The 19,959-nt window shown below is 51.2% G+C and overlaps 2 protein-coding genes across 14 annotated transcripts in view, besides 6 other annotated features; one reads left to right on the top strand and one right to left on the bottom strand.

Annotated features, from left to right (window-relative positions):
* The window catches only part of EFCC1 (EF-hand and coiled-coil domain containing 1), a 39,439-nt gene that overhangs the window by 8,442 nt on the left and 11,038 nt on the right, over nt 1-19,959 (bottom strand). For 4 of the 9 annotated variants that reach the window (NM_001377500.1, NM_024768.3, XM_011513161.3 and 1 more), the window contains one exon: nt 1,441-1,598. In NM_001377500.1, coding sequence (NP_001364429.1) covers nt 1,441-1,598 — 158 coding nt within the window. Of the gene's footprint in view, nt 1-1,440; nt 1,599-5,775; nt 5,860-16,173; nt 17,727-19,011; nt 19,347-19,959 lie in introns of those variants that run through there. The other 5 variants (XR_924178.4, XM_011513163.4, XR_007095727.1 and 2 more) reach the window with 5 other exon arrangements.
* Nucleotides 4,736-5,225: a silencer, noted in NCBI's record as "silent region_14716". NCBI's record gives its function as "represses an Ori minimal core promoter by ATAC-STARR-seq in GM12878 lymphoblastoid cells {active_cell/tissue: GM12878}" and the evidence as "EXISTENCE:reporter gene assay evidence [ECO:0000049][PMID:35858748]".
* Nucleotides 5,553-19,959, top strand: part of CFAP92 (cilia and flagella associated protein 92 (putative)) — a 116,876-nt gene continuing 102,469 nt past the window's right edge. For all 5 annotated transcript variants that reach the window (XM_017006945.2, XM_011513050.3, XM_047448638.1 and 2 more), the window contains exon 1: nt 5,553-5,842. In XM_017006945.2, the coding sequence (XP_016862434.1) occupies nt 5,779-5,842 (64 nt within the window). In that variant the 5' untranslated portion in view covers nt 5,553-5,778. The remainder of the gene's footprint in view (nt 5,843-19,959) is intronic.
* Nucleotides 14,796-15,297: an enhancer, noted in NCBI's record as "H3K4me1 hESC enhancer chr3:128735847-128736348 (GRCh37/hg19 assembly coordinates)". NCBI's record gives its function as "activates a minimal SCP1, AML or CMV promoter by ChIP-STARR-seq in primed H9 embryonic stem cells {active_cell/tissue: H9 hESC(primed)}" and the evidence as "EXISTENCE:reporter gene assay evidence [ECO:0000049][PMID:30033119]".
* Nucleotides 15,035-15,194: a silencer, noted in NCBI's record as "silent region_14715". NCBI's record gives its function as "represses an Ori minimal core promoter by ATAC-STARR-seq in GM12878 lymphoblastoid cells {active_cell/tissue: GM12878}" and the evidence as "EXISTENCE:reporter gene assay evidence [ECO:0000049][PMID:35858748]".
* Nucleotides 15,868-16,375: an enhancer, noted in NCBI's record as "H3K4me1 hESC enhancer chr3:128734769-128735276 (GRCh37/hg19 assembly coordinates)". NCBI's record gives its function as "activates a minimal SCP1, AML or CMV promoter by ChIP-STARR-seq in naive H9 embryonic stem cells {active_cell/tissue: H9 hESC(naive)}" and the evidence as "EXISTENCE:reporter gene assay evidence [ECO:0000049][PMID:30033119]".
* Nucleotides 15,975-16,024: an enhancer, noted in NCBI's record as "active region_20501". NCBI's record gives its function as "activates an Ori minimal core promoter by ATAC-STARR-seq in GM12878 lymphoblastoid cells {active_cell/tissue: GM12878}" and the evidence as "EXISTENCE:reporter gene assay evidence [ECO:0000049][PMID:35858748]".
* Nucleotides 16,045-16,154: an enhancer, noted in NCBI's record as "active region_20500". NCBI's record gives its function as "activates an Ori minimal core promoter by ATAC-STARR-seq in GM12878 lymphoblastoid cells {active_cell/tissue: GM12878}" and the evidence as "EXISTENCE:reporter gene assay evidence [ECO:0000049][PMID:35858748]".

Genomic DNA, 19,959 nt, shown 5'->3' with positions numbered 1-19,959 from the left:
TCCATTTTAGGCCATACCAACCCCAGTCAGGAAAGGCCAAGCCAGTCTCTTAGGAGCTGGGGTGGGCTCCTCACGGTACAGGCACCAGGATGGACAGATTTTCAATGCTCAGGGAACTACAGGCGTCTAATGTTTGGAGTAGTGTGGAGGAAGGGGGTGTGACACATGTGACTGTCTGCGGTCCACAGTATTGCTTGGCCTTGACGGTGGGCTCCCACCTGTGTCAGCATCAGGAAGCCTGGGGGTCTGTGTGGCCCCCTGGTGTTCTGCTGCCCAACCTCAGTCCCCATCCCCGTCCCCAGGGGAGTCCCACTCCCTCCTCTTCCTCTCCACCCAGCTCCAGGGGCACTTGAGTCAGGCCCGGCCAGGCTGAGTGCAGCCTCCTCTGCAACTAGTTCAGGAAGGGCAAGGGACCCAGTGGGAGCCACTGGAGTTAACCCAAGACTTGGACTCAAAACTTGCAGGGAAGAGAAATGCCCTCCATGCTTCTGGCTTGGGAGTTGAGAGGACCAGGCCTGGAGCCACTGGTGACCATCTTGCCACTATGAGGGGAGTGCCTGCTGTGAAGTGAATCACTGTAGAGCAACGCAGGGCCAGGGGTCCAGACAGCTGCGCTGCTGACACTTCAGCTGTGCCTGAAGCTTGTGTGGACTTTTTAAGTTATGTGAACCAATACATTCTCTTTTAACTTAAGCCGGTTTGGGCTGAATGATCTGACACTGGGAGACAAACGATGTCCTAACTGATACAGCTGTTTAAAAACAAAACCAGGCTTATGACCCCACCCCCACCACCCCAGAGAATCACATGCAGAGATCCGGGGTGGGCCTGGGCATCCATGTTTTTCTTTTTTCTTTAGGGGGGCAGGGCCCCACTCTGTCACCTAGGCTGGAGTGCACTGGCACAATCTTGGCTCACTGCAGCCTCTACCTCCCAGGCTCAAGTGATCCTTCTGCCTCAGCCCCCACTCCCCCTCCGAGTAGCTGGGACTATAGGCATGTGCCACCACACTGGGCTAATTTGTTTGTATTTTTGGTAGAGACCAGCTTTTGCCATGTTGCCAGGCTGGTTTCGAACCCCTGAGCTCAAGCAGTCTACCCGCCTCAGCCTCTCAAAGTGCTGGGATCACAGGCGTGAGCTACCACATCCAGCCTGCATCCATGCTTTTAAAGGTGACCCTGGCCACCTGGCAAGTTTGGGAACATCTCAGTGTATCCTGACCTCCTGATGGCTCTACACACCCCAGATTCTCTAGGCCCAGGTTCTTAGGATGATGGGGCTGGGGAAAAGGGCCCCAGCCCAGCCTGAGCACCTGGTGGGAGTGGGCTCTGTTTGGAGGCTGGTGGTAGCATGGATGCAGACAGGCCCTTGAGAGCAGGGCTGAGCACAGCCGGAGGGACTGTGAGCCTGGCAGGAAGACTGGGCGCACAGGGGACAAACCTTCATCCAGGGCTCTGCTTCCAGAGCTGCTGTCTGACTGCCAGGCTCCCTCTGGAGTGGGGTCTGGGTCTCTGGTCCCAGCATCTTCAGGTTCATTACTCTTGTCTCCTGGCTCTGGGTTGGCTAGCTGCGGGGTTGGGAGCTGGGAATCCTCTGACCTGCAGCCGTGGGAGAGACACAGGCATTGAGGAGGAGAGTACAGGACTCTTCCATTCCCCACTGTACATGGGCAAGCTGTCTATGAACACCCATTGTCACCCTGGCAGAGTCAGCTTCCCACAGTCCAGGAGGAAGTGCTAGATACTCAGATTCCCAGCATCCCTTGCAGCTAGGGCACAGGCATGGAACCCAGTTTTAGCCAATGGGACTCAAGGCAAAATCTTCTGCAACGGATTTTCATCCTTATAAAAAAAAACCTCTAGGAAAAGAAATGCCCCTTCCTTCCTGCCTTTAGACATTGTCATGTGAGAATGTGATGTTTGGAGCTGCAGCAGCCATCTTGTGACATGAAAAAATGTCTGAGAGAATTACTGAATAGCTGAACAAAAGCCTTAATGTCTTTTAGCTGTTGAGTTCATCAGCCCTAGGGCCACCCATCTCTGTACTTCTTATTATAGGGGAATTTTAAAAAAAGTTTTCATTGTTTCAGCTACTTTTTGTTTGTTTGTTTGTTTTTAAGAGATAGGGTCTCTATGTCACCCAGGCTGGAGTGCTGTGGCATGATCTTGGCTCACTGCAGCCAAACCTCCCGGGCTCAAGCGATCCTCCCACTTCAGCCCCACAATTAGCTGGGACTACAGGTATGCGCCACCACACCCAGCTAATTTTTGTATTTTTTTGTGGGGACAGGGTTTTGCCATGTTGCTTCCGCTGGTCTCGAACTCCTGAGCTCAGGCAATCTGCCTGCCTCGGCCTCACAAAGTGTTGGGATTACAGCCATGAGCCACTGCACCTAGCCTACTTTTTTTTTTTTTAATTTTTTAAATAGAGACAGAATCCTGTAATCCTAGCACTATGAGAGGCAGAGGCGGGTGGATGACCTGAGGTCAGGAGTTCGAGACCAGCCTGGCCAACATGGTGAAACCCTGTCTCCACTAAAAATATAAAAATTAGCTGGGTGTGGTGGCACACACCTGTAATCCCAGCTACTTGGGAGGCTGAGGCAGGAGAATCGCTTGAACCTGGGAGCCCAGGAGGTGGAGGCTGCAGTGAGCCGAGATCTACCACTGCACTCCAGCCTGGGCAACAGAGCCAGACTCCATCTCAAAAAAAAAACCAAAAAACAAAAAACAACAGAATCTCACTGTGTTGCCCAGGCTGTTCTCAAACTCCTGGTCTTAAGAGATCCTCCAGCGCCTTGGCCTCCAAAAGCACTGGGATTTCAGATGTGAGTCACCACACCCAACTAGTTTAAATTGCATTTCTGTTCCTTGCCCCCGAAAGCCTTTAATTGAAACATCTCCCTTCTCTGGGCTTTGGGGAACCTACATTACACCCCACCAATCACTTTTCTTGATATTTTAAGGGCCTGACCTTTTGAATATTCATTTTCCATTTCCCTGCAGTTACAAGATAGGGGAGAAAGAAAAATCTATCATAACATGCAAATATTCACTAATAAATGGGCCACTTATTAAACTGGCCACTTTATACTAGCATCTGTCCCTCATCCATCTCGTCGTAACAACCCGATAGAACCCAATATGAAGCAAAACCACATCTTGGAAAAGGGGAGGCCGAGTGGTGTTGGTCAGGGGGACACGGGAGAACTCGAATCGCAGGCAGAGCCACTGATGCGGGGCTGTGGCAGGGCTGGACTGGAATACAACCGAGGAAGTGAAAACCAGCAGGATGAGCACCAGCCAGGAGCATCAGGAGAGTGCTCTGCTGCACGAAGAAAACCTTTAAAAAAGCCAATGAGGCTGGGCACAGTGGCTCACGCCTGTAATCCTAGCACTTTGGGAGGCCAAGGCGGGTGGATCACGAGGTCAAGAGATTGAGACCAGCCTGGCCAACATGGTGAAACCCCATCTCTACTAAAAATAGAAACATTAGCTGGGTGTGGTGGCACGTGCCTGTAATCCCAGCTACTCGGGAGGCCAAGGCAGGAGAATCGCTTGAACCTGGGAGGCGGAGGTTGCAGTGAGCTGAGATCATGCCATTGCACTCCAGCCTCACGACAGATCAAGACTCTGTCTCAAAAGAAAAGAAAAAAAAAAGAAAAAAGAAAAGCCAACAAAGGCCTGAGATATTTTTGCAAAAGGGACCCTCCTCATGGTAAAGCTGCAAAAAGAAAACTTCCAAAAACAAAAAAACAAAACCCATAAAGGTAAGCGTGCACCACTGTGTTCTCACAGTTTTGTTGGAAAAATCACTCCAAAAGGAATAAAAGTCCTAAGTCATTCTGTGTTTGGTCTAAGAATGAGAGCACTGTACTCCAGTCATGGAGATTATTTTTTTTAAGAATGAAATGGCTAGACTGGGCACGGTGGTTCACACCTGTAATCCCAGCACTTTGGGAGGCCGAGGCAGATGGATCACTTGAGGTCAGGAGTTAGAGACCAGCCTGGCCAACATGGTGACACCACATCTCTACTAAAAATACAAAAATTAGCTGGGTGTGGTGGCGGGCACCTGTAATCCCAGCTACTCAGGAGGCTGTGGCGGGAGAATAGCTTGAACCCAGGAGGTGGCGGTTGCCGTAACCTAGATCGCACCACTGTACTGCAGCCTGGGTGAAAAGGTGAGGCTCCATCTCAAAAAAGAAAAAAAAAAAAAAGAATGAAATGGCTGAAAATATTACCTGGTCTTATTAAATAGTATGACAACTCATTTTCATACATTGTAGCTTTATTTTTCAATCTCCAAAGAGTCCCCATTTTATTTTTATTTTATTATTTATTTACTGAGATTGAGTCCTGCTCTGTCACTCAGGGTGGAGTGCAGTGGCGCGATCTCAGCTCACTGCAACTTCCACCTCCTGGGTTCAAGCGATTGTCATGTCTCAGCCTCCCAAGTAGCTGGGACTACAGGCGCCCGCCACCATGCCCGGCTAACTTTTGTATTTTTAGTAGAGTCGAGGTTTCCATGTTGCCCAGGCTGGTCTCGAACTCTTGACCTGAGGTGATCCGCCCGCCTCGGCCCCAGAAAGTGCTGAGATTACAGGCGTGGACCACCGCACCCGCCCTGAGTCCCCATTTTACATGTTTTACATGGACTCGCTGAGTGGACTTCCTATGACCAAATATTATTGGAACACAAAGACCCCTGCTCGGGAGGTGCCATTCGGAGCCATGGCCCCTTGCTGAGCCTCTCACTGCGCAGGTGGAAGCCCTGCAGCACCCAGGAGGGGCAGGCAGGGAGCCTCCCGCGGCTGATCCGCGTGACTGGGGTGAGCCCCCGCGGAGAGTCTGGGCAGGTGAGGGGCGCGGGCTCCCGGCCCGGGCTCCGTCAGGTGGACTTGGCACTTGGAGGGCCCGCGAGCCCAAGAGGGGAGCCAGCCGGCAGCGCGCACAGCCCAAACGGGGCACGGGCGCCGGGGCCCCCTGCAGCGCCTCCCCATGGCCAGCTCCCCGCCGGCACCTCGGCTGCGAGCACCGCCGCCGCCCGCGGGGCCTCCCCGTGCTCATCAGCATAACCCCACCCTGGCCACCGTGAGTGGCCCAGGGCTGCACGGGTAGCCAATGAAACACAAGGAGCGTCTGCAGGCGTCTGCAGGCGTTTCCGGCGTTTCGCTGACTGCCTGAGGGCGCGGAGCATGATGACCGACGAAGCGGGAAGTTGTGCCTCTGAGGGGGCCGTCCGGAGATGCTTGGGGGCTGCAGATAGAGCCCAAAGATGACGGCAAAAGAAACAGGACCCTTAGTAACATCAGTTGAGCTGCTGGATCAGGCTTTGCCTAAAGCCAGGGCTAACCCTGGAATTTCGTGTTTTTTGAGCCCATGACTCTGATTCATAAAATCCTGCATTCAGGGTCCCCCAGTGCAAGCCGAGAATGGGCACGTTGCTTAGCAGCAACCAGTGTGAAAACCCCCGGGTGGGGATTCTTGCTTCAATGTGAGACCGCGTGACTACAGCTTAGGTCATAATAGTTGAGATCTCACTGGGGAGGTGCCAGTATCTCCCTACTCCACAGGCTCCAGACTACAGCCTGGAGAAGAAAAGACACAAGGGAATAAGGTCACTGTCTCCAAGACTCAAGGGTAGAGGCAGGTACCTGGTTATATGGCCCCATAGGGAGGTGTTTAACTGGGGTGAGACAGCAAAGATGGGAGTTGGTAATCAAAGGGAGGCGATTTTAGCTCACTGGGAGGAACAACTTTCTCGCAGGAACTGCTGATGAAGAATGATGGATGTGCTGTGGAAGGCAGTGAGCTTCTTGGCAGAGGAGGTATGTCAGCAGGTAAGGGACTTCAGCGGCTGGAATTGTGAATACAGTTGGAGGTTGAATTAGACATTAATATTGAAATCTTTCCACTATGAGATGCTGCTGCTTCTTCTATTCCCTAAATCATTTAAGGGTTTCAACAAGCAAAATGAGATGGAGGGACAGCTTTTACCCCCAGGGGCCTGTTTAAATGTTTCCTGGCACAGGCTGCCTGGGGTGGACTGGATCCCCACACTCCACCTCCTAGCACTTGCATGTGTCTTAGAAAGCCTGCTCCAGGCACAGCTTCCTGCACGGACAGCAACGACAATACCAACTAAACCCTTCAGAATGTTCTGAAAGCTGTTCTCAATATTTCAAACATCTTCCTCATGAAAACCCTATAACAGGTAAGGTCATTATCTCCATTTACAGAGGAGGAAACCAAAGCACTAAGAGCTGGAGGAAGCTGCTGGAGCCGCACCGCGGGAGAGGTGGGGTCTGCACTCAGGCGGGAGGCTCCAGGCCCACATGCCAGGCACAAGGGAAGCTTGGAAGGCAGGCTCTGGAATGACCCGGCCCAGCTGCCGTTGTCAGTGGGTAACTCCAGGTCACAGGCAGTGAAGCTGGGAAGAGAACAGAGCCATCTGGAGAGCAGGACAGATGAGGACACTCTTTGGAATTTTCCAAGAAGTAAAATGTGGCTACAGAGAAATGGAACAAGTGCTTCCTCAGGGAGCCCTGGGGTGTGCTACTGTTGTCTAGTGACCAGTATTCAACTGCTTCTCCCATTGCCCCTCTCTCTGCTGGATTATTCAGCAGATCAGCCACCCCTCATCACACTCACATGCTATAATAGCTCCACCTTCAAACAAGCAAATACACAAAACATCCTCTGACCATATGACTTTCCCAGCTACCACCCTTACTCTGCCCTACTTGACAGAAAACTTGAAAGCACTGTGCCTACTACACATGCTGCCCCAATCATGTCTTGGTCCCCGTCACATCACCCACGGCACTGGGCTGCCAAGCCCAATGGCCAGTTCTCAGCACGCATTTGACTTGGCCTAAAGAGAAAGGATTGGACATCAGATTCCTCCCTCGCTTACACACTCTTCCCGTGGCTTCCGGGAGACTGCTCTCCTCTGGGATTCCTCCTGCCTCCCTGGCACTCTTCGCCATTTTGCCTCTCCGTCCCGACCCCTAATGCCGGTGAGCCCTGGGATGCCCTCTGAGGACCTCTTCTCTCCTCAGTGTGCACTCGCTCTAGGAGGAGTCTCAGCCAACGCCATGGCTTTGCGTGCCCATGACTTCCTACTTCTTATCTCCAGCTCTGGCCTCTCTCTTGAACCTCGGGCTCAGATCCAGTTCCTGACAAGCGCCCGAACTTAACTGTGGCACCTCTATTTGGATGTCCCACAGGCTTCTCACAGCCTCTCATGCCACCTGGACTTGTCCTGGTCTTCCTCCATCTGCTCCTCCCTCCCTCAGTGAAGTGTGCCATCACCCACTTGACCACCCAAAGAGTGGCCGCTGGGTTTGGCTCCAGCAAGTAGTGCCCAGAAAATCCTCCTGGTTCTTCGTTCTCCCACCCCAACAAAAATGTCACTTTCTCAGAACTCACCTCTCCCTCTGCTATGGTTTGAATGTGTCCCCCAAAGTTCACGTGTTGGAAACCTAATCCCCAATGCAACAGTGTAGAGAGGTGGGGCCTTGAAGAGGTGATCAGGCCATGAGAGCTCTGCCCTCACGAGTGGATCCACACCATTACTGCAGGAGTGGGCTCCAGATACAGGAATGCGTTTGTCTCCCTCTCTCCCTCTTTTGTTCTTCTACCTTCTTCCCTGGAACGGTGCACCAAGAAGCCTATGGCCAGATGTGACATGCCCTTTACTTCCCAGCCTCCAGAACCCTTAGCTAAATTTCTGTTTTTCTTTTTCTTTTTTTTTTTCTTTTTTTTTGCGACGGAGTCTTGCTCTGTCACCCAGGCTGGAGTGCAGTGGTGCAATCTCGGCTCACTGCAACCTCTGCCTCTCAGGTTCAAGTGATTCTCCTGCCTCAGCCTCCCGAGTAGTTGGGACTACAGGTGTGTGCAACCATGCCTGGCTAATTTTGTATTTTTAGTAGAGAAAGGGTTTTACCATGTTGGCCAGGCGGGTCTTGAACTCCTGGCCTCAAGTGATCTGCCTGACTCGGCTTTCCAAAGGTGCTGGGATTACAGGTGTGAGCCACTAGACCCAGCCCCAAATTTCTTTTCTTTATAAATTACCCAGTCTGTGGTATTCTGTTACAGCAGAACAAATAAATATGAATAAGACACCTCTCCTGGCTCCTAGAGCCCTCGTGTGGTGTGTTATGGTGTTTCTCTCTCACCAGACTGGGATTTCCTTGAGGACAGTTAGCACAGGGACTGAGTGGCCCAATGAAGGTTTGTCAAATGAATGAATGGGATTTAGGGGTGGAAGTGCAAGGAAAGGCCAGGCCAGGGACAAGACCAGAGCCTGGGTAAGCATCCAGTTTACTCCTATCACCTATTCACCTGCTCTTGGATTGTTCCAGAAAGGACAGAGAAGGAAGAGCACTAGATCTGGAGCCACAAGACATGGGTTGAGTCCTACCATTCCCAGTTCCTATCAGCTTTGTCCTGTGGAATGGGGCTAAGCCCTCTGTGCACCTCAGAGAGGGGTGGACCCTACGTGATAGGATAATGCAGATTCCTAAGCTGCAGACATTTTTGGTCATTTGTCCTTTTATTTACTAATACATATTTTATGTAGTGGTAAATATTATAACCAATAATGAAAACCCAGCATCTCTTGCCATAAATAGTAACCATTGTTAAATTTAAGAATCAAGAGGTGGCCAGGCGCGGTGGCTCACGCCTGTAATCCCAGCACTTTGGGAGGCCGAGGCGGGTGGATCATGAGGTCAGGAGGTCGAGACCATCCTGGCTAACATGGTGAAACCTCGTCTCTACTAAAAATACAAAACCAAAATTAGCCAGGCATGGTGGCGGGCGCCTGTAGTCCCAGCTACTCGGGAGGCTGAGGCAGGAGAATGCCGTGAACCCAGGAGGCAGAGCTTGCAGTGAGCCAAGATCGCACCACTGCGCTCTAGCCTGCACTCTAGCCTGGGTGACTGAGCAAGACTCAAGACTCTGTCTCAAAAAAAAAAAAAAAAAGAAGCAAGAGGCCATTAGCCTGAGGCTGTCTCTGTACTTTGAGTGATGATCTGAAGCCGAACTTAGTATGTGAAGAAATCAAACTCTAATTTAGAAGCATATATTTGTAACAAATAGCAGGCTGAGCTCCCCAAACCTCTGCTGTCCCTGACAGCTGCCCAATTCATGACTTGTTCTTTACTCAGATAAACTCTGTTAAATTTAATATGTCTAAAGTTTTCCTTTTAACACCCTAAAAATACATAAAGCAAGAATGAAACACAGTTAGTCAGTTCTAGCTAGATCTTATTTTCTGTCTGCCTCTGAACCCGAGGCTGTTCTCTGTCCATTCAAGAGAGGCTAGCAACTGTGAGGAGAAGTTGGAGACTTCTCAGCTCCAAACCACAGCTTGGGAACCGGTGCTGGAAAAGTATGGCAAAGGCCCAACCTCCCTGCCCTGTGCTTTCCGGCCCGCGACTCCCACATTCACCCCTGCCTGCCGCACTTCTGGGCCACTGTCTTTCGGGAGCCATGGGGGAAATGGTCTGGGGGCCTTCTGTGAGCTGCAGAGACACTTGTCACTCAACAGGCATTACTGAAGCACCTCTGTCAGGGCTCCAGGCAGTTCTGGGGAAAGGCAGGCCCCAGTAGCCACCCACCCTCCCCTCACACCCTCACTTCCTGGCAGACCCCAGAGTCCTTGTGTGCGGTTGGGTGTTCCCTCCAGCTGGCCACATCTGCACAGCATCCGGAGGCCGGGTGAGCCTCTGATGTCTTCCTCCTGCTGGAGGCTGATGGCCACATCTGGCCGCCAGCCCAGGGGCTTATACAATCTGACAAGGGCCAGATGTTGCTCTTCCTCCCTTCCGCTGTCCTGGCCACTCCTGGCTCCTGGCTCCAGATCTTCATGTAACAGACCCCTCCTTCAGTTCTGTGATGCAAAGAGGTGGATCTGAGGAGCCGCAAACCTGGGTTCCACCCTCAGGACTGTGGCTTTGCTGTGTGACCTGCACAACTCCCTCCCCGTCTCTGAGCCTCTATTTCATTTTCCTCATTGATTAATCAGTCAACACTGCTGGGGACTCTGTGCTAGCTGGGCCTGGCGGTCCTATGAGGATGAAATGAAATGACATGGTCCTTCTAAACTTTGTGGAGCTCCTGCCCCTGGTAATATTTGAAAATAATACAGGTTCTATATAGATATGACAAAAAAATGACATTGATCCTAGAGGATCTGAAGCTTGGTAAATGCTTAGACACCAGCACACGGTGAGTTCTGGGTGCTGTGAGAGCAGAGCTCTGCGCCTGCCCCGGCCACCTCTGCCCCTCACAGCAGAGGACCCCAACCCTAACACACTGACGCCCTCTTTCTACAATGGCCCTGTGCTATTCCAAAATGAGCTGAATACGTAATATGCCCTATTTTCAGATGTACTTCAAAAAAAAATTAATGTGATGCCCTAATGGTAATTTAAAAGAGAAAGAAAAGGAAAGGAGTTTTATGATATACATTTCAATATGTAAATACTCACAAACAATGAAATTTTCAGATACTTTAACCTGTCTGTGATGGATACATTTGAATTTAAGAGGGGCAAGGTAACATTCAACTGAATGTTGTTGATAATCTTTCCCTATATTTGGCATTTTAAAATATCCAGATTGATAGATGGATTGATAAATAGACAGATACCCGCGCAGACTCACAGTACAAGCATAAGGACTGCCAGTGTTTTTTGTTTGTTTGTTTGTTTTTTGAGACGGAGTTTCAATCTTGTTGCCCAGGCTGGAGTGCAATGGCATGATCTAGTCTCACCACAACCTCCGCCTCCCGGGTTCAAGCGATTCTCCTGCCTGAGCCTCCCCAGTAGCTGGGACTACAGGCCAGGCATTCCCTGCCAGCAGCTTAAGCACCATGAGTTTTGTCACTGTCTTTGATGTGCCTCTGAAATGATGAGCAACTCTTGGAAAATGCCAAACAAAACAAAGTGTGACCTTCCCTCAACTCACACAGCATCGGATTCTTGGAAAACCCTTTGTATATTAAAACCTTGTGGAAAACCCTGTGTTTATATATAAGACAGAGGTGGGCTCCAGTCTCAGATCATCATGACGAAAGTGAGGTTTGCGCAGCATAAATGTCCAGCAGGACACATGGAGCTCATGTGGGGTTTGGGGTGATGCTTGGTCATACAGGATCTGCCCAGAGCCTTGTTTCCCTGGCAGGGCCCCTCATGTGTCAGGAGCACCACCCTTCCAGTCACTGAGGCAAACCCTCCTCCCCACGAATTTCCAGAAAGTCCTGGGGGAGATACTGCTCCCAAGGAGATGCCCTGTTCCAGACCCCTCCCAGCTCTCATGAGGCCTTACATCCCACTGGCCACGGCAGCCTCACCCTGGGACTACGAGGTGCCCACCCCTGTGGGTTTGGACTTGGAGGCTGCCAGGTCAGCACACTGGACCATGCCCCAGCCTTCAGAAGGGTGGTGTCCAGGGTTCCCGTCTGCAAGTGCCCAGCCAGCCTGTAACCTTCCTGGCTCCCTCCCCTGGAGCCTCTGGGCTCACAGAGCCTTTTGAGAAGGGCATCTGGCCTGTGTCTGTTTAATCCTGGGCCAGCCACTCCAATAAGCGTGCCTTACCAAGTCTTTCACCTCTTTGAGACTCAACTTTCCCATCATTTTATTATTTATTTATTGAGACAGGGTGTTACTCTGTTGCCCAGGCTGGAATGCAGTGGCGTGATCTCAGCTCACTGCAGCCTCAACCTCCCAGGCTCAAGTGATCCTCCCACCTCAGCCTCCTCAGTAGCTGGGACCACAGGTGCAGGCCACCATGCTCAGCCAATTTTTGTATTTTTTGTAGAGATGGAGTCTCACTATGTTGCCCAGGTTGATCTTGAACTCCTGGGCTCAAGTGATTCACCCATCTCGGCCTCCCAAAATGCTGGGATTACAGGTGTGGGCCATCTGTCCAGCCTTCCCAATCTTTTAAATGGGAGTAAGTCACCCAAGCTCATAGGGTGCAAGTCAGGGCTAAATTAGGGATGTATGTGCCTGGCACAGAGTAGGCACTTAACAAATATTAACTCCCACACTCTGTTTACAGCTTCCTGCTTGTTCATCTTTCCTTTTCTGTTTCTCATTTTACCCCCTAAAACCTCAAATAAATGCATAAATTTCTGCAGTGCTGTCCTAGTGTTTTAATCTGGCCTGCATCGTCCAATATGGTAACCACAGTCACATGTAGCTATTTAAATTTAATCAGGCTGGTTGCGATGGCTCATACCTGTAATCCCAGCACTTTGGGAGGCTGAGGTAGGTGGATCACCTGAGGTCAGGAGTTCGAGACCAGCCTGGCCAACATGGTGAAAACCTGTCTCTACTAAAAATACAAAAATTAGCCGGGCGTGGTGGTGGGTACCTATAGTCCCAGCTACTTGGGAGGCTGAGGCAGGAGAATCGCTTGAATCTGGGAGGTGGAGGTTGCAGTGAGCTGAGATCATACCATTGCACTCCAGCCTGGGCAACAAGAGCGAAACTCAGTCTCAAAAAAAAAAAAAAAAAAAAAGTAAATTTAATCAAAGTTAAATAAAACTAAGAATTCAGTTCCTCAGTTATGCTAGCTACATCAAGTGCTCAGTAGCTACCTGTGGCTCACAGCTACCAGTGCAGCCAGAAAGCGTTTCCATCATCTCATAAAGTCCAGTTGGACAGTGCTGATCTACAACTTATATTAAAAGTTAAATAGTTTACAGTCATTTTTCCCAGAACTGTAGTTCTCTCTTGTTTGTACTACAATTATATGAATCTAGAATGTGACTGTTTATATAAACACAAAATATATACAAGTGAGGGTCCTGCTGCGGTCTCACATCCTCAAAGGAATTATTGGACTGATGAGCAAACCACTAAGACAAACACTGATGAGTGGACTGACTGGGCTTCTAAATCCCATGTGAGTGAAGGTAGCCAGCCCTCGCTAAACCTAAACCTACCCAGGACAAACTTAAAGCTGGGTCCCTGTCTTCATCACCCAAAAGGGTAGACTCCAGGTGGACTGAACACCTAAAAGATACAATTAAAACAAAAGAATATCCAGCAGAATACCCTTGTGACCTAGGAACGGAGGACCACTCAAGAATTCAAAGGCAAAAATCATAAAGCCAAAAGAATTTGGTGAACCTGATTACATCAAAGAACACACTGGGGCCAGCTGGCATCACTTGGTCAAATCATTTATGTGTCTCCACAAGACCCAGCAACCCCTCTCCTGGGACAGTTCTCACAGCAGGCTGCTGCACGGTGGTGTGGGGGAGGACACGCACTTGGTGTCATCTGGAGTGGCAGGCAGTTGGAGGCAGCCTAGTGTCCACCCCTGGGAGTGGATGGAGGAGTTTGCAGAGGGGAAAAGCAGCCAGAAGATGCACTCGCAGAACAACATTTGGGGTGGGAACTCCAGCGCCGAGTGGGGAGTCAGAGGCACAGTGAGACATGTGCCACAACGCCGCCAATGGGGTGCAAACAGACCCGAAAGACTCACTTCGCAAGAACACATCCCAACAAGAAGATACAGAGAAATCACCGGGGAGGGACTGCCTGAAGGGCAGGAAGGCGTGTGGGAACAAGAGGTGAGAGAGTCCATCCCTGCCCCTGCCCAGTCCCCTGCTCAGAATACATGAGGAATCCCAAGGTTGGAATTGCTGGTCACCAATGACCAGCACATTGTCATTTGACTCAGGGCTGGCATACTTATGCCATAAAGGGCCAGAGAGTAAATACTTCAGGCTTTGAAGCCCATGAGGTTGTTGTCAGAGCTACTCCACTCTGCACAGGAGCAGTCCCAGAAAATATGTAAACAAGTGGACATGGCTGTGTTCCAATAAAACTTTATTCATCGACACTAAAATTTGAATTTTATGAAATTTTCATATGTCATGAAATATCCCTTTTTTAGTTTTTTCCTAGCCATTTAAAAATGTAAAAACTATTCTTAGTTTGTGGATTGTATAAAAATAAGGGTGGAGCTGGACTGGCCCACAGGCTGTAGTTTGCTAACCCCGGATTTAACTGATGACTTCTGCTCCCTATGGAGACAATTTGTCTCCCTATGGAGGCAAACATGTTTAATGAGCCTGGAGAACTGAGGTCTCATCTTTACTCCCAAGGCCAGCCAGCACCTCTGGATTTCCTAAGATAACTAATCCTATTAGGTTATAGAATAATTGAAACCAAGCATCTGGCTGGGGATAAAAAGACCACCCTGAGGGGCACAGGGACCCTCTTGTATGGCCAGGACTGCATACTATATGGTAGCCAGGAGGGAGGGCTGTTATTTTCTTGCTTCAATGAGCAGCATTGATTTCTGTTGTTTGCAGCCATAACTTCCTGGCTGGTACAGCCTTGAGGAACTCACTTCACTTCTCTGAGGTTAACTTTCTTTCCAGTGAAATGTCTGCCTCACGGGGGTGGGCAGAATGTCTAGGAATGGGCCCCCAAGTTCCACACCCTAATTCTCAAAGCCTGTGAGTGAAGTGAGCCTGTCACTCAGAGATGGCATGATGTTCTGTGGCACAGCTGACCAGAAGACGGGATTATCCCTGTCTAATCACACAAGTCCCTTGAAATGCAGATAGCTTTCTGGGCTGGTGTAGAAGAGGCTGTGAGAGAGATGTGAAGTGTGAGAAGGACATGGGGCAGGTCGTTGCTGGCTGGAAGATGAAAGCAATGTGGGTGAAGGAATGCAGAGAGCAACCCCAGCTGACAGCCGGCAAGGAAATAGGGCCTCGGTCCCACGGCCAAAAGGAGCTGGATTCTGCCAACACTGGAACGGGCTTTCCCAGGGGGTCCAGACCCGGCCAAGGGTGCCTTGCTTTCGGCCTTGTGCGAGCTTGTGCAGAGAAGCCCGCCACGCCCGCCTGGACTTCCGGCCTACGGAATTATGAGGTCACAGGTGGGTGTTGTTTCAAGTCACTAAGAGTGTGGTGATCGGCTATGGTTGTGATAGAAACCAAATTCAGCCATCCAAACAACCACACCCCATCTGCTGTCAGCTCAACCCCGACTGTGGCCTTGTGCTCCCAGAGAGACTTGACTGGCCTGAGCCAATCATGAAGCCGCCTTCACGAAGCCTCAATCATGAAGCTTCCTTCAGATTGGTTTAGAAACAGGCATGTGATGCAATTCTGGCCAAAGAGAGGTGAGGGGAAGTCTGCCAGGAGGACCCGTGGATATGGCAGTGATGCCTGAGGCCATGGCAGCTCTCTTGCAACCATGAGGGGTCCTTGCTGACAGGCCAAAATGACAAGCTGAGGAAAACAGAGTGGAAGATGAATCAGGTCCTTGAAAACTTTACTGAACTGCCAAGGAACTGCTCTCCCCTGGACTTCTCACATGAGATAATAAATGTCCTTGTGGTTTAAGCCATTCTGAGTTGGGTTTTATGTTCTTGCAGCATAAAGCATCATCACTGATAAACCACTCACAGCACTGCTTGGGAGTGCAATAAGGTTGTACAGATAAAGTCCTTAGTGCAGTGCCTAACACCCAGTGAGTGCTCAAAAATGTTAGCTTTTGTTCCTTAATCAGTTCCGCCCCCTCCTGCCTCAGGCCCTGTACGAGTCAGGGTTTGACCAGAGAAGTGGGGCCAGTGTGTGGAATCCATCTACAGCCATGCCTGCAGCTGTAGCTCTGTCTCCAGGGCTTTATGACAAGCAGGTGGCCTGTGTGATCACGGGGGCTGGCTAAATGAGTCTGGAATCCACAGAAGGGAAGCTGGCAGGCAGGTGGAGCTCACGGGCACGGCTTATGGGCTTCCCCAGAGGCTCTAGACACGGGCGTGCCCATGAGCTCCACCTGCCTGCCAGCTTCCCTTTTGTGGACTTCAGGCTTGCTTAGCCAGCCCCCACAATCACACAGCCCACTTCCTTGTCATAAAGTCCTTCAGAAAGAGCTACAGCTTGTAGGCCTGGCTGTAGATGGATTCCACACCCTTCTGTCCACAGGTGGAACTTCTCTTTCACACAGAAGCCTGTTTGGCTCTTGAAGCCCACCCAGACCAGCCAGGATAATGTCCCTTACCTAAAGTCAACTGATGACAGACTTTAATCCATATGCAGAATACCTGTACAGCAACTGTAGCTTAGTGTTTGACCGGTTAACTTGCTGTAACCAAGGGAGCGGTCAAGGCATCACATCAAAGCCAGGGGGACGCATCAAAAGCCCATTACACCGCCTGGGCTCAGTTTATTCTGGAATAGATGAAAAATGTCACTGCTGTCTTTTTCTCTCTGCTTCCTATGCTCTGAGCCGCTCAGTGACTCAGCAAGTCTCAGGAAGCTGCAGAGCTGACAGGTCCCTCAGAACCCAGCCAGGCTACTTTGGGCCATCAGGCCACGGCCACGCTGCAGCACCTACTCTGGGAGGTCCTGGAGGTTCGCACACAGCGGCTTCCTTTGCTGCATGGCGTTTCCTGAGTGAAGCAGCCTTACAGGAAACAGAGAGCAACATGTGAAAACAAGAGAACAACAGCAGGAAGAACAGCTTGGGGTAGGGGGGCGGGATGCAGCAGAGGAAGGGCGGAAAATAAATCACAAGGGGTGGGGGGACAGTCCTCAGGGGTCCTCTGTGACTCCTCTCTGGTCCCTACCTGAATTCGGGAACCCCCCCAACTTTACTGAGCAGGGGATGGCGGTGGGAAGGGTGCAACAGGAGTGTGCGAGCAGACACGGACACTCAGCTCTCGGGGGCGCCGTGCAGGGTGTCAGCCTGGGCTGGGTGACTTCTAAGGCCCTGCCAGCCCAAGCTGCTGACTTGGTTCTTTAATTCACCGAAGGATGAAGTATTGAGCCAGCCACTGTCCTTAGCAATGGCATGGCCCCTGACCTCACAGAGCTTACCCCGCAACCTCCCCCCCCGAAGGAGCAGACCTCAATGAAGTCATCACAAAAATACATGAAGGACAGAAAAGTCCAGGGGCCGTGAAAGACGTTAGGAAGAGGCTGTAGATGGAGGTGGGGCCTCCCTAAAGAGTTGGGGTCTGGCAAGACCTGAAGGGTGAATGTGGATTGGTCAGGAGTAGGCTTGGGGATGGTGGAGGGAGCCGTATGCCCAAAGGGCCTGAGAAGGGGAGCCCTGGAGGGTCAGTGTGGCTGCAGGAGAGGATGGGAAAGGGCCTGGTCACTCACAGTCATGATGGTCACCAGAGGAGGTCACAGGAGAGTTGTGAGTGGGCGAGCCCGAGGTGGGATCTGGGTGTTGAAAAGATTAACCTGATGCTGTGTGGTCCGTGGTTCTGATGGAGCTGGGACACCAGTCAGGAGGCTAGGACAGCTGTCCAGGAGTGGTGCTGGGGCTGGGCTGGGTGGTGGGTGCGACTGGAGAGTAGCAGGTGGGTCTGAGCCACTTGGAGCTGAGACTTAGCAGGACTCCGTGTGTACAGGTGAGGAGGGCTCTTCACCTGCTCCTCCTCACTGGCCCCTCCTCACTGGCCCCTCGGCATCCAGGCTGGCTCCAACCTGCTCGTCCCCGTGCAGGCAGTGCAGACAAGCCAAGCTTGTGCCCAGCCCTGTGATTTTGCTATGGGAGTCACCTCCGCCCTGGATCACACAAGTCATGGCCCCACCTTGCCACTCAGGCCTCAATTCCAGGGTCACATCTCAGAGAAGTCTCCTGTGATGGGCTGGTTGTGTCTCCCCAATTCATATGTTGATGTCCAGACCCCCAGAGCTCCTCATAATGTGATCTTATTTGGCGATGGGACCTTTAATGAGGTAATCAAGTTAAAATGAGGTCTTTAGGGTGGGCCCTAATCCAGTCTGACTGGTGTCCTTCTAAGAAGAGGGGATTAGGACAGAAATACACACAGAAGGAAGACCACGCGAGGATACAGGGAGAAGGCGGCCCTGGCTGCCAGCCCAGGAGAGAGGCCGCAGGAGAAGCCAACGCTGCGACACCGCACTCTGGTCAGCCTCCACAGCTGTGGGAGACAAATGCCTGTTGTTGAAGCTCCTGGTCTGTGGGGCTTGTCACAGCAGCCCGAGCTGACTCACACTCCCTGACCCTCCCCTCGTCCACCCGCTTAGTTACTGGTGGTCAACAGCGTAACGCACTGAGAGTTGGTCCACGAGGGCAGGGTCTCTGCCTCTTCCCAGCTGCCTCCCTCATGCCCAGGACAGCATGGGCCCTCTCTAGGCACTTGACAGAATTTGGTTGAATGAAGAAAAGCCAATGGTTATTTCTGACAGAAAATCATGAAGAGGCAAAATGAAGAGCCTGAAGACTCTGTCTGCCCCTTCCTGGGTCTCTGACTTTGGGTGGCTCCAGGCTTCTCCAGTCACCTCGGTCCTCTCCGGAAAAGCCCCCACCCCCAACTCAGAGCACATTCTGACAGTCGCTCCTGCCCCTGCCTAGTCACAAAGAAGCCACGGCCCTTCCTTGGCCAGGTCCTCTGCCCGGCTCAGGGGGACTGGGTGCCATCATTGCCCACAAGTAGCCCCCCATCCAGCCCCCTGACTACTGTTCTTTGGAGAACAGACTCCTCCATTTCTCTTGGCCCATGTGTCGGGCAGGGCCAATGGCGGGAATGTTTTAGCCAGGTCTAGCTAATCAGAGTGGCAGTGATTGGTCCAGAGTACTCACATGACCCTAGGCTGGCCAGTCAGCATGCTCCATTTCCCTGGTACCAGTGACTGGTTCCAGGATGGGTGTGGCCTATGTTGGAACTACTGGGAAAGAGAAAGTGTTTCTGATGGGGGTGATTGGGAGGATAGGAGCTAATCCTGATGATGATGGTAGCTGTCTTGCTACCTTATGGGAAGAATGTCTGAAATCAGAGCCAACTAGGAGAAAGACAAGATAAAGGATAGAAAGAAAGAGATTCCAGGTAGCATGACTTGAGCTCCTGGATCTAGCCATGCCTGAAGCTATATACGCTTGAGATTTTTAGTTGATAAATAAGTGCCGTTCCTACTTTTCTTTTGGCCTAAGGCAGTGAGAGTGCTTTTAGTCATTAGCAACTAAAAAATCCAATATAATATAGAACCCTCTCCATCCAAAGGAAGCATACTTTTATTTTTTGTCATTTTTTTCTACACAAGACCACTTTGACTGTCTATATCCAAGGCTGTACCGTCAAAACAATCTGGCGATCATGATGCCCACCCCCTTGTGTCCTCCAGAGCTCACCCGGCTTGGGTCTGCAGAACCATGTATACTACCCCTGACTTAGGCCAGGTCATGTGAAAGTCCTGACACTGGCACGTCTGGAGCTACAGGACAAGCCAGGCCTCCACCCAGGAACTGGCCTCTTCTTCCAATGTCTCCTTGTGGGTAAATAGCATATCCTTATGTGAGAAGAGATTCTCTCTTTGGATGAGACCACCTTAAATAAAGAAAACCATCCATGCGCCAGGCCCTTTGACTTTCTGGAAAACTGCTACACTACATAAAAAAATGCCCAATGCCCGCTCTTCCACCTTCTCTGTGCCTGGTGCTGAGCTGTAGCCTTTATGTTTCTTGAATTTTCACTTCTAAGGGGAAGTTCATGAGGTGGACATTGATTGTTTTCTGTCTAACCTGCATCCTTTTCTGTCTCCTGGTAACAGCACCAACCTTCGTTTTGGGAGTTGTCCCACTTCTATGGCCACCCAACTCTTGGCCCACTTCAGGGTTGAGCGTGTGCCCTGGTCCGGGCCAACAGGACTATCCTAGTAGCCTGGTCCTGGTCTCGGCCTGGAGGTGGGGCTGTGACCCAGGCTGGGCCAATCCACGTTCTTTCCTAGGACTTTATCTACAGGTGCTGGGAAGCAGAATGTTGGGTCACAGAATTTGGAAAGTCATGAATCTGGGGTCCCTGCAGCCATGTTCCCAGCTATGTGGAGCAGGAGCGAGTAGAACCAGGCAGGGACAAGCAGAGATACAGGTGGATGGAGAGTGCTGGAGGCACAGGGGTCGAAAGCTCATCCGAGGAGTGTGTAGCAAATGCAGGCACACCC

The sequence above is a fragment of the Homo sapiens genome, chromosome 3, assembly GCF_000001405.40.
Source record: "Homo sapiens chromosome 3, GRCh38.p14 Primary Assembly".
Lineage (NCBI taxonomy): Eukaryota > Metazoa > Chordata > Mammalia > Primates > Hominidae > Homo > Homo sapiens.
Note: the sequence above shows the minus strand (reverse complement) of the source record. Positions and strands in the feature narration are given on the sequence as shown.